General features: G+C 53.3%; 1 protein-coding gene across 125 annotated transcripts in view, besides 1 other annotated feature; it reads right to left on the minus strand.

The window, feature by feature from the left end:
* The window catches only part of CELF4 (CUGBP Elav-like family member 4), a 322,955-nt gene that overhangs the window by 149,186 nt on the left and 158,565 nt on the right, over positions 1 to 15,204 (minus strand). The window lies entirely within an intron of this gene.
* Positions 11,325 to 12,188: an enhancer, noted in NCBI's record as "H3K27ac-H3K4me1 hESC enhancer chr18:34983317-34984180 (GRCh37/hg19 assembly coordinates)". NCBI's record gives its function as "activates a minimal SCP1, AML or CMV promoter by ChIP-STARR-seq in naive H9 embryonic stem cells {active_cell/tissue: H9 hESC(naive)}" and the evidence as "EXISTENCE:reporter gene assay evidence [ECO:0000049][PMID:30033119]".

The following is a 15,204-nucleotide window of genomic DNA, read 5'->3' on the forward strand; positions in this document are numbered from 1 at the left end:
GTCACCAGAACCGAATTCAGGGAGACCCTGGGGGCTGAGAGCCTCTGCTCCCTTCCACTTCTGTGACGATGACTCAGCTTCACACACCCATATCTGCTCATCACTGTGGTGGGGGAAGTGGGAGAAAGAAAGGTTTTCCCCCAAGAACAAGCTAGTTCTGGGGAAGAGCTGTGAGCTGGTGAGCTGGGGCTAGGACAGGCTCCGTCACGGAGAGAAGACCTAGTTGCACCCCAGGGTACCTCCATGAAAGCCACCCACAGCCATCCCCATTTTTAGCTTGCGTTGCTCTGTGCTTGCACTGGGCCATCTGTTTTGCATAAGGGGCAACCCCCGAAAGCACTGTTGAACCCTCCATGTTTAGGTGCACAGCTTGTGAAAGAAGATGTGGTGAAGCCTCTTGCTTAGTGCTCCTCACACTGGATCTGACCGCTGACCACTCGGATGAACTAGAAACCCAGAGCTGAGAGGAGCGGGGAAGAGGCAGCGCTCACTGCAAGGCCATGCTCTGCCTTCCCTCCAACAACAGGCTGTTTCCTTCACCTCCAAAGTTCCTTTGTGCCCACAAGCAAAGTAGAGATGCTACCTAGTGCAGTATGGCAGCACTCCCTAGCAGACCATTTAATTCCTGGTCCCCAAAGCATTGGACCCAAATGCTTAAAAAAGCATTCTGCAATTCACAAACTCAGATGGATTTTGTTTGTTGTAGAAAGAAACTAGCCTGTTGTGCTACTGAGCATGCTTCAGTGGTCCCTCAGGTCTCAGCTCAAAGTCACCTCAGTAGGGGCTTCCCTGACACCACATCTCAAACAGCCCCTTCCCTTTCCCCCGTCATCTGCTTCATCCTCTTCAAAGCTCTTATCAGCGCCTACATTGATATTGTTTATCGGTAGATTATCTCCCTTCTCCCATGTCATTCCATTCCAAGGGGGCAGATTTTATTTTTGTCTGTTCCCTGTGGTGCCCCATGCCCAGCATGGGGCCTGACACCAGCATATGCCTAGGCATAGTGTGTTGCACAGACACAGGGACTGCGGTGTGTTAGAGAGACACAGGGACTGCGGTGTGTTAGAGAGACACAGGGACTGCGGTGTGTTGGACACACACATGGATTGCAGGGACAGGGTACAGGCTTGAGGAGATGGCTTGGTTCCTCTCGGGGATACCCTGATGCCCTCCTGCTACCTCCTGGTCAAGGGGTGCCCAGCTTGGCCTGGCACCCAGTGGGGAAGACCCACCCCAGATACAGACCTCCTGATGGGATGTACCTGGCACTTGCTCAAAGCCACTCAGAGCCATGGAAACAGGGCATGGGGTAAATTTACACAAAGGGGTCATTCATTCGTTGTTCTCCAGGGCACTGGCTGGGGCCCAACTTTCACCCTCAGGAGGGGCTGCTCAGGAACTTGTGGACGGGGTGGCTCAGGTTTTCAAGAAGCAGCCCTTTGGACACTTGGGCCCAGGTCTGGGTGGGCAAAGCTGGGTTTGGGCTGCCTGGAGTCCTGCAGGGAACTCATTGCTCACAGAGGGAGGGCTCTGCCAGCAGCCTGCAGCCCCACATCCCCCGAGGGGACCAAGTCCCACAGAGGCATGTGGTGGGGAGAGGAGGTGTGGGCTACACTGGGTGGGGCTGGCTTTTGGAGTTGGGACTTGGTGCTCCAGCCCCGGTACCTGAGTCTCTCTTGGTGACAGGTGCCCATCTAGGCAGATTCCTTCACCTTTTAACTAACAACCCATCCCCAATCTGAGCAATCTCTGAAGGTGCGGAGCACACTTGACAGCGACAAATGCTACACTCAAATGAAATTAAGTGATATTCCTTTACGCGGCTTTTTTTTTTTTTTTTAATTTTAAGCAACACCAATAATTCCAACTGCAAAGGCTAAGGGAAAAAAAAAAAGGCAAAAACACCCCACCTCCTCCGAGCGGAGCGCCAGAGGTCGGCTCTGGGATTTGCATGACAAAAGCACTCTACAAACAACAACAAATTGCCAGCTTGTCGGGGGCCGCAGGGCGCGCGCGACAACTGGCGCGTTCCTCTGGGCGGCGCTGGGCTCCGAGACCCGCGGGAGGGGCCCGCGGCAGATGCTCGGGGACCGGCCCGACGGGGGCGGGGCAGCGGGGTTCCGGCCTCCATAGCAACCGAGCTGTGACCATGGCCAGAGAGATGGCTCGGCAGCCGCCACCTCCCACTCTGGACAGGCGCGAGGGGCGGGGCGGAGGGCGCGGGCAGCGCAGAGCAGGGAGAGGGACGCGGGGCGGGAGGCAGGAAGCTGGGGGACGGAATTGGGCGGCTTCTCCCCTCCTGCTCGCGTGCAGCCGCCGTGACCTTAGACCTGGCCGGCGTCCACGGGCATACCATGCGGGCACCAGGCAGGCCGTGAGCTGCCCTTGGTCCAGCAGCCGGGCCTCCTTCTGGCCGCGCGTGCTTCCTGGCTGGGCTGGGAGGTGGAGCGTGTGATGAGGCAGCGGCCGGCTCCCCCAAAGTGAGGCCCAGGCAGATGGCTGGCCAGAGCTAAATTGATTCCTAATGATTTGTGTCTCTCCCCTGCCCGGCAACGGGTAACTTTTCATTAGAGACACAGATGTCTTCATAAGGCGATGCCAGGGCCCTCCCACGACAGCCCCAGCACCCCTCCACTCCACTGCAGACATGGGGGGTGTCACACGGGTGAGAAGGTGGGAGGACTGAAGGGTCCAGAAGGAGGCCTGCCACACCCAGCAGTCTGCTGTCTCCAGGATGCAAGTGTCAGCCACCCACTCCCCCCAGACCAGGGCAGCTCCTGACCTGCTCTTGCAGTGGCCACTGGGGCCACCTCCTAGGCCCTAGGCTGTGTGGGTGCTCCAGCATCACTCCCTCCCTGGCAGGCCTGTCTGGTGGCCATCACTCCACAGCCTTCCTGCCATGCCCAAGACCCGCCCCCCACCCCCCACCCGGCCTCCACTCACTGTCCCCAGAGTAAGTCTGCCACCCACCCCTGCAGATCCAAGTCTCACCTGTCCACTGCCAACCTTCAAATTCTGTCCAAGGCCCGTGGCCATGGGTTTCCCATATCTTCCTGGGCTTCGACCACTATTTCTGTCTACATATCCCCTCACCATGTCACCTCGTCTATGCCATGTTCACTGTCTCCCTGGCAGAGCCTTAGTGGACAGGGAGGCAGAGGCTCACTTTCTCCTGCAGTCATGTTGCACTTCTCCTGTGGCACTTACAACCCACGGTCCTGGTGAGAATGCTTTTTTTGTGTGCTTCCCCCACCATTTCCTCCTGCACTACTTCATTTGGTGGGTGATGACTGCTCCCACGGCGGGCTGGGCTGTGTGTTAAAGGCCAGACACGTTCCCTCCTCTCCCTTCCAGGCTCTTGCAAGCTGCAGTCTGAGCTGACCCCTCTGTATCCTCCCCGTTCCTGCGCCGCACACTTCATGCATAGCAGGTGCTCACTGGAGATTTAGGGGAAGGGAACCACAGTATCTTGGTGTCCACTATAGCAGTTTGTCATTTTGAGATCAGTAGTTCTCTCTGGGATCCTCTTGTAAAACACTAAGCCCCTGAGGGGTCAGGTGAGTGAGGGGTGGATGCTAGGGTCCCCATCTCACAGAGAGAATCTGTCATCTTGTTTCTTGCCTGGGGGCACGACTCTGTCAAGTGGTAGAGGCGCTGAAGTCCAATCCAATTGACCTCTTGGTTGTTGGGGGCCAGCCTGGCTTGCCAGGTGCTGAGAACTCCAAATAGCACACACAATTACCAGACCCAGTCCTGAGGCCCCCACATGGCAGCCAGAGGAGAAAGGAGGCTGGCTTTGGGGCACTCAGCTCCCCATGGTGTGAACTCCCCAGCCTGGGATCCAAGGCCCTCCCAGCCCCATCCAGCTAGACTGATCCATCTAACTCCCGTGCTCTAAGCCACACCTGCTCTCTTCTTGCTCGGCTCCCTTCATGGACCCTGGCAATTTTGTCTCACTCACTCCTCCTTGGCATCTTTGGTCTTCATAGGTCCCCCCTTCTGATACTCTCCCCATTCTTGCCTGTCTAGGTAAATCCAACCCATGGTCCCCGACCAGATTAAGGATTCTGTCTAGTCTGTGGGTTCTTTCTCTCTGTCCATAAGTACAAGACTGCAAGAAGACTCTGACTTGTCACATTTCTCTCAGGACTCAGCAAAGATGCATTTGGATGTGCTAGTGGATGTGAGGTTGCAAGTACCTCTGCCTGCCTTGCCAACAGCCACACGCCACTGTGGCCCCTGGCCTCAGTGCTCTTGTGCAGCCTGTGACCACACAGCACATGCTACAGAGCTTGAACAATGTGTTGCTGCAAGATGGGAGATCCAAATTCTTGTCCTAGCTGTGCTGCCCTTTTTCCATCTGTAAATTTTTGGCTATTGAAAACATGTCTCAAGATGGTAGATGGGAATAGGTTTTCAGAAGGATTAAAAACAGACAAACAGAAACAAATAAAAGACCACGGTGAGTGAGTCAGGGATAAAAGCTGATGAGGTGAGCCGCTGTGAGAGCAAGGTGTTTCCATTGCTCACAGCTGTGTCCTCTGCACTAAGCTTGGTACATAGTAGGTGCTCAGTAAGCCCTGGTTGAGTGAATGCAGCTGCACGGTCTTGCCAGTGTCCTTATAAGAGACAGCATGGATGAGGCGGGTGACTGGAGAAAACTAGGATCACTCTGAGTCTATGATTGGGGTCAGTCTGGGATAGGAGATTTGGATTCTTTCCCCCACACCTTGTAGGGTGTGAACCCATGACCTCAGTCTCAGTGACCGCACAGCCAAGCCACCACGTGTGTTCCTCCCAGACAGCCCTCCTAGAGGAAGCCAAGAACCTATCCTTTGTACCTCCCCAGCATGTTTGAGGCAAACTCACCCTGCTCATATCTTTTGTTTTTCTTAATTAAAGGAGCAAGAGCCAGGATTCCGTCTCTGAGGGTGCAGGCTTGTGTCTGGATGTCTTCATTTTGGCCAAGCTATTGGTGTGCCTGCCTGTGTGGCAGCTGGACACTGGGCCTCCAGAGCCCAGGGGGGAGGTGAGCGGATGGCGGCTCAGCCCATGTCACTGCCTTTGTCACCCCCAGCTCCCCACAAACCCTCATGCCTCCCAGACATTATAAGGACTGCTGCTGTCCTCTCTGCAGACACAAAGCAGCTGTTCAGTGCTTGGTTCTGCCTCTCGACTCCCTGAACTCCTTGCGGTGCTTGCACAACCAGCCCCTCACCCTCCATTTAAAGAGATGCTTTCATGCACAGGGCATCTTGGCAGACCTCATTTATTCAGGGAGATTTGCCAGGCCCTGTGGTAGGCCTGGGGCTTGGGGCCAGGCTAGACAAAGCCATGATCCCTGCCCCCCAGGAGTTTCCATTCTAAACTGCAGCTGGGCTGGGCAAGGGCAGGACCATCTGGGTTGCCCTGGGTACCCAGGACCATCTGGGTAGCTCCAGGCTTTGGTTTTCTCATCTGCAGATTGAAGGGATTGGTTGGGATCCCTAAACTGCATGGAGGAGTCCTGGGGAGTCCATGGGTGGGGAGGGATGGAGGCTGGGCAGGCTGGGCTCTGAGCTACTCCTGGCCACTTCCTCTACAGCTGCACAAGTCATGCTGCCCAGAAACCAGGCCCAGGGTGGGCAAACCATGCCTGACGGATGACCAGCTCCTGGCTTATGGCACACTGTATATTTGTAAGTAGCACTGGCTGTACATGAAGCTTGTGAGGTGGGTATGTTGGCTTTTTATCAGAGAAGTCCAGTCTCAGCTGGGGTAGAGTGGAGCTGGGGCTCGAACCCAAATCTCTGAATCTGAGCTCTGTACCTCCCAGGAATTCCATCCCCAGACCCTGGGTGGAGTGGGCGGGGGCAAGGGGGTGCGGATCCTTGGATGTGCTTTGTTCCAACACAAGGTCATCTCTGCTCTTTCCAGCAGGGGCTCCTCTCACCCTCTATCCTGACGATAGGGCTGCCTCCTCCCTCTGGTCTCTCCCCACTCAGGCCCGGGTCAGTGGCAACAGCTGTGGCAGTGGGGCTGTAAAGGGGCCCTGAGCCCATCCGGAATGTGAAGGGCAGGTCCTTCAGGGAGGACAGGTGTGTCAAGTGAGCTGCCGGCCCTTGCTGTTGGGAGAGAGTGAAGGAGGCAGAAGAGCTTTTATAGCCTGTGACCCCTTCCCCCATTCCCTTTCAATAATAGTCCAGGCCAAATTACTTCCTTCTCTAAAGTTCTGGAGTTTGGAGTCAGAAGGGAGAGGGGGCTGGAAAAGTGGGCAAACGAGGGCCAGGATGACAGTGAAAGTCCTGTCCTGGGAGGGTAGGTTTCGGGAGCAGAACTGTTCTATTGTGGACAATGACCTTTAGAGAGAAGGAATCTCCCTTCGTGGACTGTGCCTCACAGACATAGCTGCTCCATGATGTGGTTCTGGCACGTGAGGGACCTTGAGGAGCAGACATCCTGCTGATCTTGAGGAAGATCCTAGCCTCGGGGCAGTGGGAGGAGGCTTCCTGCTGTGGCCCAGGAGTGAGGCCACTGGCCCGTCAAAGGGGCCTTCTGCTGAGACATAAGGCTGCAGCCCATCCCTCCATCTCACCCTCCTCCCTGGCCCACAGAGGTCCTCCCAAGGAGGCCTGTTGGTGAAAGGGCCAGGGACACGTACCAGCCACTGACACTGCTTGAGGCCTCTGGCCTTTGTTTCTCTCCAAGGCGTGGGGGTTCCGGAGAGTGGTGGAGCTTAGCAGGCAGGGCACTGTGTTGCGATCACTCGAGATCGCACCATGGACCCAGCCACCTTGGACAAATCCCTTCTCCTGCCAAGTCCTAGGTTCTTCAACTGTAAGATGGAGGTGGCTACATCCCCTCGAGTGGCTGAGAGGATTTACAGAGATCCCGGGGGTGCATATAGATTTCAAACTGCCCATGCTTCACACGTGACTGCTTTGTCCTGCCAATTGTCTTCCCACCTGTGGGTGAGGCCTGCCCACTGCTTCTCAGTCTAGGAAACCCCTTTCAGGTCAGCATTTCTATTGTAGTAGGCACTGTGCCAAATGATAGGGCGCCCAAGGTGAATAACGCACAGGAGATGCTCACAGTCGTTTTTTGTTCAGAAATACTTGTTGATCACTGCTGTGGTTTGAATGTTTGTCCCCTTCAAAACTCATACTGAAAATTTAATTGCCATTGTGATATTAAGGGATGGGACATTTAAGAGGTGATTAGGTCATGAGGGGTCTGTCATGGTGAATGGATTGATGCCGTTATCATTAGAATGTTCCCGTGAGAGTGGGTTCCTGATAAAAAGAATGAGTTTGCCCCCCTTTTTTCTCTCTGCCTCATGCACTTGTGTCCCCTTCTGTTTTTCCTCCTTGGGTGCAGTAAGAAAGCCCTCAACAGATGCTGGCTCCATGCCCTTGGACTTCTCAGCCTCTCCACTGTAAGCCAAATAAGGCTCTATTATTTATAAATTACCCACTCTCAGGTATTCTGTTATAGCAGCAAAAAATGGACTACGACAATCACCAACACAATGCCTGGTATCCTGTGGGGGCTTTTACTAACAGGCTGAACAACAGTCGCTCTAGAAGGGTCCAAATAACAGAAACACAAAGTGCCTGAGATACACCCACCAGTTGTCCACTAACCAGGGTTGGTTTGTAACAGCTGCACACCTGTAGTACAGGACCTTGCCTAGACTTGGAGGCAGGCAGGCAAAAATGGTTGGTTCACGTGGCAGGTGAGCCTACTGTGGTCCTGATTCAGTAAGACGCTTGCCCATCTAACTAGCTATGTGACCTTGGGCAAATCAATTCAGTTATTTTGGCTCCAATTTCCCTAAGCACATCCTTTCCAGGGTCTGCTCTGGCTCAATCATTCCTTGATGTTTCGCTTCTCACCCAGGCAGATGAGCCTCACTGATTTAGGTCCACTGGGAGAATAGATGCTGAGGGAAAGGCAAATCCCGGAGGCAAACTGATGAGATTGTTGGTTTTATGTATTACCTTGGCTAGGCTGTAGCATGCATCTTATTTAATCAAACACAAATCTAGGTGTACAGTCTACATCTACCAGTATTTGCCTTGAAGTAAAAGGAGGGTATACAGGTGGACCTCATCCAATCAGTTGAAAGGCCTTAAAAGCAAAACTGAGGTTTCTTTGAGGAAGAAGAAATTCTGCCTCAAGACTGCAGCTTCAACTCATGCCTGAGAGTTTCTAGCTTGCTGCTCTGCCCTATAGATTTCAGACTTGCCAGTGCCCCCACAATCACATGTGCCAATTCCTTCTAATAAACCTTTATATATGTGTGTATATATGTATATGTGTGTGTATGTATATATATGTATGCATGTACACACACACATATACATACACATGTGCACACACACGTGTATATAGCTTCTATTTCTCTGGAGAAGCCTGACTGACACACCTGGGCTCAAGAATATCTCCAAAGAAATGTGTTTGTTGCATTCATGTTCTTTCAGCAAATACTACTTAGAAACAGATCAGAGGGCCAATTCCAGTAAACGGAGAAGAATCATTGGTAGTTAGGTCCATCCGTTGGTCTTCAAACCATATATTGGAGCACTTAAAATACATTCTCTTCTTCTTCATTGAACCAACTGCCCAGTCCAGCTTCCCACACCAGGCTTTGTGTTCTCAACCCAGCCTGCCCACAGTATTCACAAAGGCAAGCTGGATTCTGTCATCCCAGACCCAGAATGAATGCCGTTCATGGGAATCTCTAGTTTTTGAGAAATTTGACTGGTGTCTATTTTACTCTTATGAGCAGATGATGTTCTTTGTTTATGAGAGAAATTAGGCCAAATCCGAGTTTTCCACAGATGGAGACGCCTGAATTATTGATTAGAGGCTCATGAATTGGGTTCTGGCAAATGACAGGGCTGAGGGCGGCTGATTTGTGTGTCACTATGGGAACAGCTTGATCCCAGCGGGGCCTGGGCCCTTCTGATGCAGTGTTGGGCCTGGCAGGGGCCCTGGGGGCTGGCTCTGAGAATAGAGTAGGTGTGGGGGTCCTTCCTTGGCTGCTTCTGCTGGGCTCTACTGGTTCCCAGAGAGCTGTGAGGCAGGGCCTAGATGGGGGCCTGGACTGGCAGCTGGGATGAATGCTCAGGCTCCAGTGACTCCTCTGCTGGACCCCCAGATGGTTGTAGGTAGGTCTTCTTCACTCAGAAAAGAAAGCGACGGACATGGAGATGTTCATTGCAACTTCCCTTCTCCCACCAGGTCATCCTCTCCTTTAAAATTGAACTGCAAGGCCAGCTGATGAAACCTTTCATGTGGTTGGCTGTGTCTGGCAGCTCAGCAAGCACCTACTGTGTGGAGGCCCTGTCCTGGGCTCCTGATGAGCAACACTGCTTCATGGAAGAGGCAGTGAGCTCTGCATTTGTGGGGCAAGGACTCAGGAAAGTGCCTTTCAGAGTGTGATCCGGCCATCTTACAGACCAATACTAACTGAAGGTCACTGAGCACAGGTCAAGGGCTGTCCATGCATTAAATCATTTGGTCCTCAGAACAGCCTTATGAGCCAGTTCTCTTGAGAGTGCAACCAAGACACAGAAACATCCAGGAGCTTGCCTAAGACTTCCCAGCCTGTGAGCCACAGAGCCCAGCTCAGGCAATGTTCTACCACTCCATGACATGGATCTGAGACTTCCCTGACACCAGCCATGAGCCAGAAATCCTTCAGCCTTTAGCTAATAGTTGAATGGGGAGATAGACAAGGACACCATCCAGCGTTCTTCCCACCAAAGCATACTTACACAGGGCTGGCCTCTCACTTCCCTAGGGGCTGCAAGGTTACTCGGCTCAAGAAAGGGATATTGCATTTCAAGCCCTGAGTTGGCTTGACCTGGGGCCTGGCATGATCCATAAGGAGGCCTGGGCCAGACCCCAGGTCTTCCTGCCTATTCAGGTGCATCACTCTCTGGTTATAGCCCACTGTCTCCTTGGGGCTGTCTGCCTTTAAAACCTAACGTTGAGTATGCCATCAGTTTGCTGGGGAGTTGGGACAAATCACTGCAGCTCTCTGGGCCTCCAACTCCCTCACTTGAAACCCAGGCATCTGGACTCTACCTCTGGGCTTCCTTCCTTTTTTATTTCTGAGGCCACCTGGAGGGGATGTGCCCCTTCTCATGCTGAGGCGGTGAATACATGATCCGCTGGGGATGAGCAGGGAGGCTGCTGAGGTGAATCCATAAGTGTTTGGTCTGAACCACTTTAATTTGCATTCCAGTTTAATTACCATCCGTCTTTCAGGTTGCCCACATGGGAGAAGAGGCATTGGGGCCCCAAGGATGCTCGCTCTTGCTCCTAAACGCTCCTATTGCACCTGCCTGGAACATATACCACTGCTCACCTCCATGGACCTATCTGTTTCCAGGGTTCCAGGGTCAGGGGGACCCCAGGGAGCTGCCCCTTCTCTAACCCCTTTGAGCCTGGGTGGACCCCCCTCTTCTTGTCCTTGTGTTCTGAGTGGGAGCCCCTTCTCAATCCTTCTAGCTTGGAGGTGGCAGGTGGAAAGTAGGTGTGGGGTAGGGTGAGGGTAGAAGCTCTTTGTCATTCTTTATTCCAGCAAAGAGCCAGAGTCTGAATGTGGAAAAGGTGAAAGAGAAAGACAAAAAGTAAGCCAAAGAGTAAGTAAAAGTTCAAGCCAAAAGGAACTTTTGAAATTCAAAAAGATCTTTCTCCCCCCATAACAGAGCTTCCCACCTTGTCCACACCTAGCTTACTCTGCCCTGGGGACTGGCCAGGGCTGTTCCTTCTCTTCTGGGCAGCCCTGTGCCCTTCCACAGCCTAACAAGTTCAAGGTTCCTGCAGGCCTAGCTCAAGGACCCCTCTTCTGAGGAGCCTTCCCTGGGCCCTTCTCCCCCAGCCTTCCTCTGCCCTCCCCACCCTCCATGCATGGCCTGAACAGGCCCCAGTCCTGGCATGCACAGGGCCCCATGTGGCTTCTTGTGGCTCCGTGGGGGTGGCATCTTTTCCCTCACTGGGCAGGCTCTCCAGCCCCAGGAAGGAGGGCTGGGAGGAAGGGAAGGAGGAGGTGGCAAAGATGCCTAATCTGAGACAGTGAGAGTGAGGGGAGAGATGGGGCGAGGAGGGGAGACAGGCAGAGAGAGAAGGAAGAGGGCTGGGGTTGGGGGAGGGCGGGCCAGCCAGCAGTCCTCATTGGACTAAACACAGTCCCGGGACAGCACATAATTCGGGCCTGAGTCAGCAAGTTTCGCCTATAATTTCTTAAGCATCTGTCAGGCCACTGTCTCCCTGCCCCCCTCCATAAGAGGAGCAGCCGCTTCAAAGGGAGCCTGGGAGCGAAAGCCTCATTTAGCAAATGAGGGGAATGTTTAAAAATAACACAAGGAGTCACCCTCCATGGAGGCGAGGCCACCCCTCCCCTGTGGCTCTCTGTGCTCCTCCTCCAGTCACACAAGGCCCACAGGGAGGGCTGGGGACAAATGGCTGGAGTGGAGGGACAGGGCCATGTGACTCCATGTTTGCATGTGACTCCGTGTGACAGCATGTGGCGAGGGGGTGGTGGGTGTGTGTGCTGGCAGGGGCCCGGGTTGCTGTGCGGCCTGGCCCAGCTGTGCCTGACGGTGTGCAGTCCTCTAGAGGTGGGGCTGAGAGGGCGTGGGACAGGCAGGACAGCGCAGGTGTGTGTTCCCCTTTGCAGAAGGGCGGCCCTAGGCAGAAGCGTGAGTGATACGTGTCGGAGTTTACATAGCGCACATGAAATGATGTGTGCAGGCTCATGCAGATGCTGTGGCTGGGACAGAGCCACTGGGCCTCCTGGGCTAGTGCTGCTCATACCCTCTTCTGAGATGGTCTCAGCTACACAGACTCCCCTGGATTTAGCCCTAATTCTCATTCCTATTCTCAGAGGTCCACTTCCTTACCTCAGGGCTCTCAGTGCCCATGGCTGGCTTTGGCATGGCTTTGCCCCCCGCTGTGAGGCCATCTGTCCAGGAGGCACTCAGGGTGCTTTACAGTCAGCATCTTCCACCTGAAGTGGGATCTTTGACCACCATTCCCGGATTCCCCTCTGGGGCCCGGCCAGGCCTTCACATGCCTTGTCACAGTTACTCCTCAAACAGCCCCATGGGCAGGCCTGAGCCAGCAAGTTCATTAACCCTACATTATAGACAAGACAGCTACAACTTGGAGAGGTTGAGGCACGTGACCTCGAGCACATCCCCCAACCCCTGAAGCTCCTGCTCAGCTCATGCCCGGTTCTTGAACCCAAAGGGAAGCAGAAGGTCTCAGTCACATAGTGGAGGAGTTCTCTGGTCTCCAGACTACACCCCACAGAAGAGGAGGCCCCCCATTTCCAAATCCTGGAGTGCCTTCATGCAGGGCACCTCTGGAGTTAAGTGTTTGTTTTCAGCTTATTAACTCACTGGCAAAGTGGTGGAGTAGGATCTGGGGCATAGACACAGGGCAGGGAACTTGGAAAACAGGAGTCCAGGCCCTGCCTGATGGGGCAAGTGCACAGTTGGATGCCCAGGGCCCTCCCGAAGCCATGGGAATCTCACATGGGGGCTGTGCCTGGGCCTGGACATCACTCCAGCCAGGCCCACCTGGCTCGACCTGCTCCAGCACTCTCACCCCATACACTTTGGTTCTTGGGGAGCTCGGCTCACAGAGGATTCAGAGGCACCCCAAGAAAGCAGAGAGCCAGGATGGAGAGTGTACACCTTGTGACCAAGACCAGTGTGGAGGTGTGGCTGCCCTAACAGTGAGGTCCAAGGCACTCAGAAAGCCCCTCCTTCTAGCATCTTCCTTGTTAATCTGCTCTGGAGGCTGGCATGCCACCATTAGCACTCATTTTGGGGTTAAGCACTGCCCATCCCTTGTCGCATGCTTTTCCTTGCCTCAGCATTCTTATTAGTTCTGTCCCACCCTCTAAAATGTCTTTGCTATTTGTCCCACCAAACAAACATTCCTTGTAAAAAAACAAAACAAAACAAAAAAAAGTCCATCATACACCTGCACCCAGCCGTTCACCCACGGGGCCACTCTCTGCTCTGAGCTGGCTGGGCTTGGGCCTGAAAGCAGGCCCCAACCCCCCCCGTGTCCTTTCCTTCAGATTCCTGGTTCCTCCAGCTATTCCTCATAGGACATGTTTTCCAGACACTTCTTCCACGTTGTCATCCTGTCATTTTCACTAACAGCTGAATGTCTAGTCATTTGGCAGTGTTGTCCACAGGTCCCATGGAATTGGGCCTCCCTGTGTGGGAGGAATTTCCTCAGGCAGGGGCATGATCCACAGGGATGATCACATCTCCCCCACCCTCCTGCCCTTGCCCCTTCCTCTGCTAGTTCAGATCTCTGCACCCAAGGTGTGCTCTGCTCAGTCTCAGGACTGGGTAACCATCCCGCCACCTCTGCCCAGTTCTTTCTCTGTGGTGTACACGCCACTTCCTGCCTCTACCCTTCCTTCGAAGAGGGGCTCTGCCCCGGGATGCAGGAGACTGAGAAGATTTAGAGAACTAGCAGAGAGATGTGTACACCTTACCAACAAGGCCAGCAAGGCCCATCTTTGTGTTCCAAAATGCAGGGGAAGCCTTCTCTCTATAACCATCATTTAATTCATTTATAAAATAGGCCTTTAGCTCAACACCAGAGGGTCCCTAAGATTGCTTTCAGTTTTAAGAACCTGTGGCTATGTTCTTCCCGCTAAAAGCAGGAGTCCCCTCTCTACCTGTTGAGGGAAGAGGGCGGTGGGCTTTGGCTGTGGAGGGAGAGTGCCTGTGAGATATTAGTGGGGGAGGTCCCATTGTCTCTGTCTGTCCCCTTCACACATCATTTCCATCACTTCAGGCCAGGCATGGGGTGGTGGTGGGGGGCTGGGCTGGCCCCCCTCCAGCCGGGAGTGGAAAAATCCATCACGAACCTAACATATATTTTAAAATAACTTACATGCATAACACCCCCACGCTCCCATTTCTGAGCCTCAGATCTGATTATCTGCAGCTCTCTTTCTCTCTCTCTTTTTTAATAAAAAATTGCTATAAATCTTTTTGTCACAGAAGATAGAAGACGCAGGTTCGCTGGAGAAACTGCCTCGCTGAGTTGTTTCATAGGGTGTTTGGTGCCCTGCTCCATTTTTATTTTTTTTTAAACTCCCCTGCAGCCCAAACTGAATTTCAAAAATATGAGGAGTAAAGGAAAGCTGTCCCTGGTTGGCTTTAAAGGAGGCAAAGCAGTCAGTAGAGATGGGATGACACACCCATCCCATCTCTATCCTCGGAGCCCCACACATGCACCCCAGTTCAGTTTGGTCAGTGGGACTGCAGAAGAGGGAGGAGAGATTCCCCAGCATAAGCCCACAGGATAGCTCACTAAAAACATGCCTTCTACGGGAAAGGTCTCTCTGCCTCCCACATACGTCCCTATCCATCTGGTTTAGGCTGACGGTCCTGCGCTATGGGCTTGCTGGAATGGAAAAGAGGGTGAATGTGCTGCTGGACCTTGGGGGAACCTGAGCAGTGCGGCCAGTGAGGACCTGCATGATAAATCATCTACAGATAGACAACTTGGAGGGTGGCCTTTTGCTGAGCAACTGTTGTCCCAATATACCTGACCCATTTGTTACCCAAGCACAAAGCACATTGAAAGAAGAAAATATTTTCCTGGTTGCTCCATTGTGGGCCAGGGTTGAAGAAAAGGAAAACCCCTAATGTTGCCTGTTATATGCAGCCTTTGAGTGCAGGGCCCTGTACTCATCAGATGCTCAGCAGCTAGACCTCAGGGAATAGAAGTTGGGTAGGGCAGGTAGAGGAATTGGACCTTTGGAAGAAAGCCAGGAAAGGTATTATGGGGTTGTGGGGAAGTGGGGGAATGGGGAAAGCCAGGAATTCAAGGTGGGCCTGTCTAGGAGCGGGTGAAGGAGACCAGTCTGAACAAAATGGAACGTCTGGGAGAGCTGCTGATGTGTCTATCATCCATCCAAGCAAAGGTGGAAGGTCAGACCTCACTTTGTTAGACCTCAGGAAAGACAGCATGGTTTATTGAAAAAAGAAAACAAACCTTAGGATCTAATAGACCTACTGCTTACTCTTCTTTGGACCTGGGCCAGTTTCCTTACATCTTTGTGCCTCACTTTCCTCCCTTACAAGACAGAGAGGATGATATTATCTGCAGAACTGCTATGGGGGTTAAAGGCACCAGTGTACATAAAGTTGGGCACACGGGAAACTCTCC

This window comes from Homo sapiens, chromosome 18 (assembly GCF_000001405.40).
Source record: "Homo sapiens chromosome 18, GRCh38.p14 Primary Assembly".
Taxonomy (NCBI): Eukaryota; Metazoa; Chordata; class Mammalia; order Primates; family Hominidae; genus Homo; species Homo sapiens.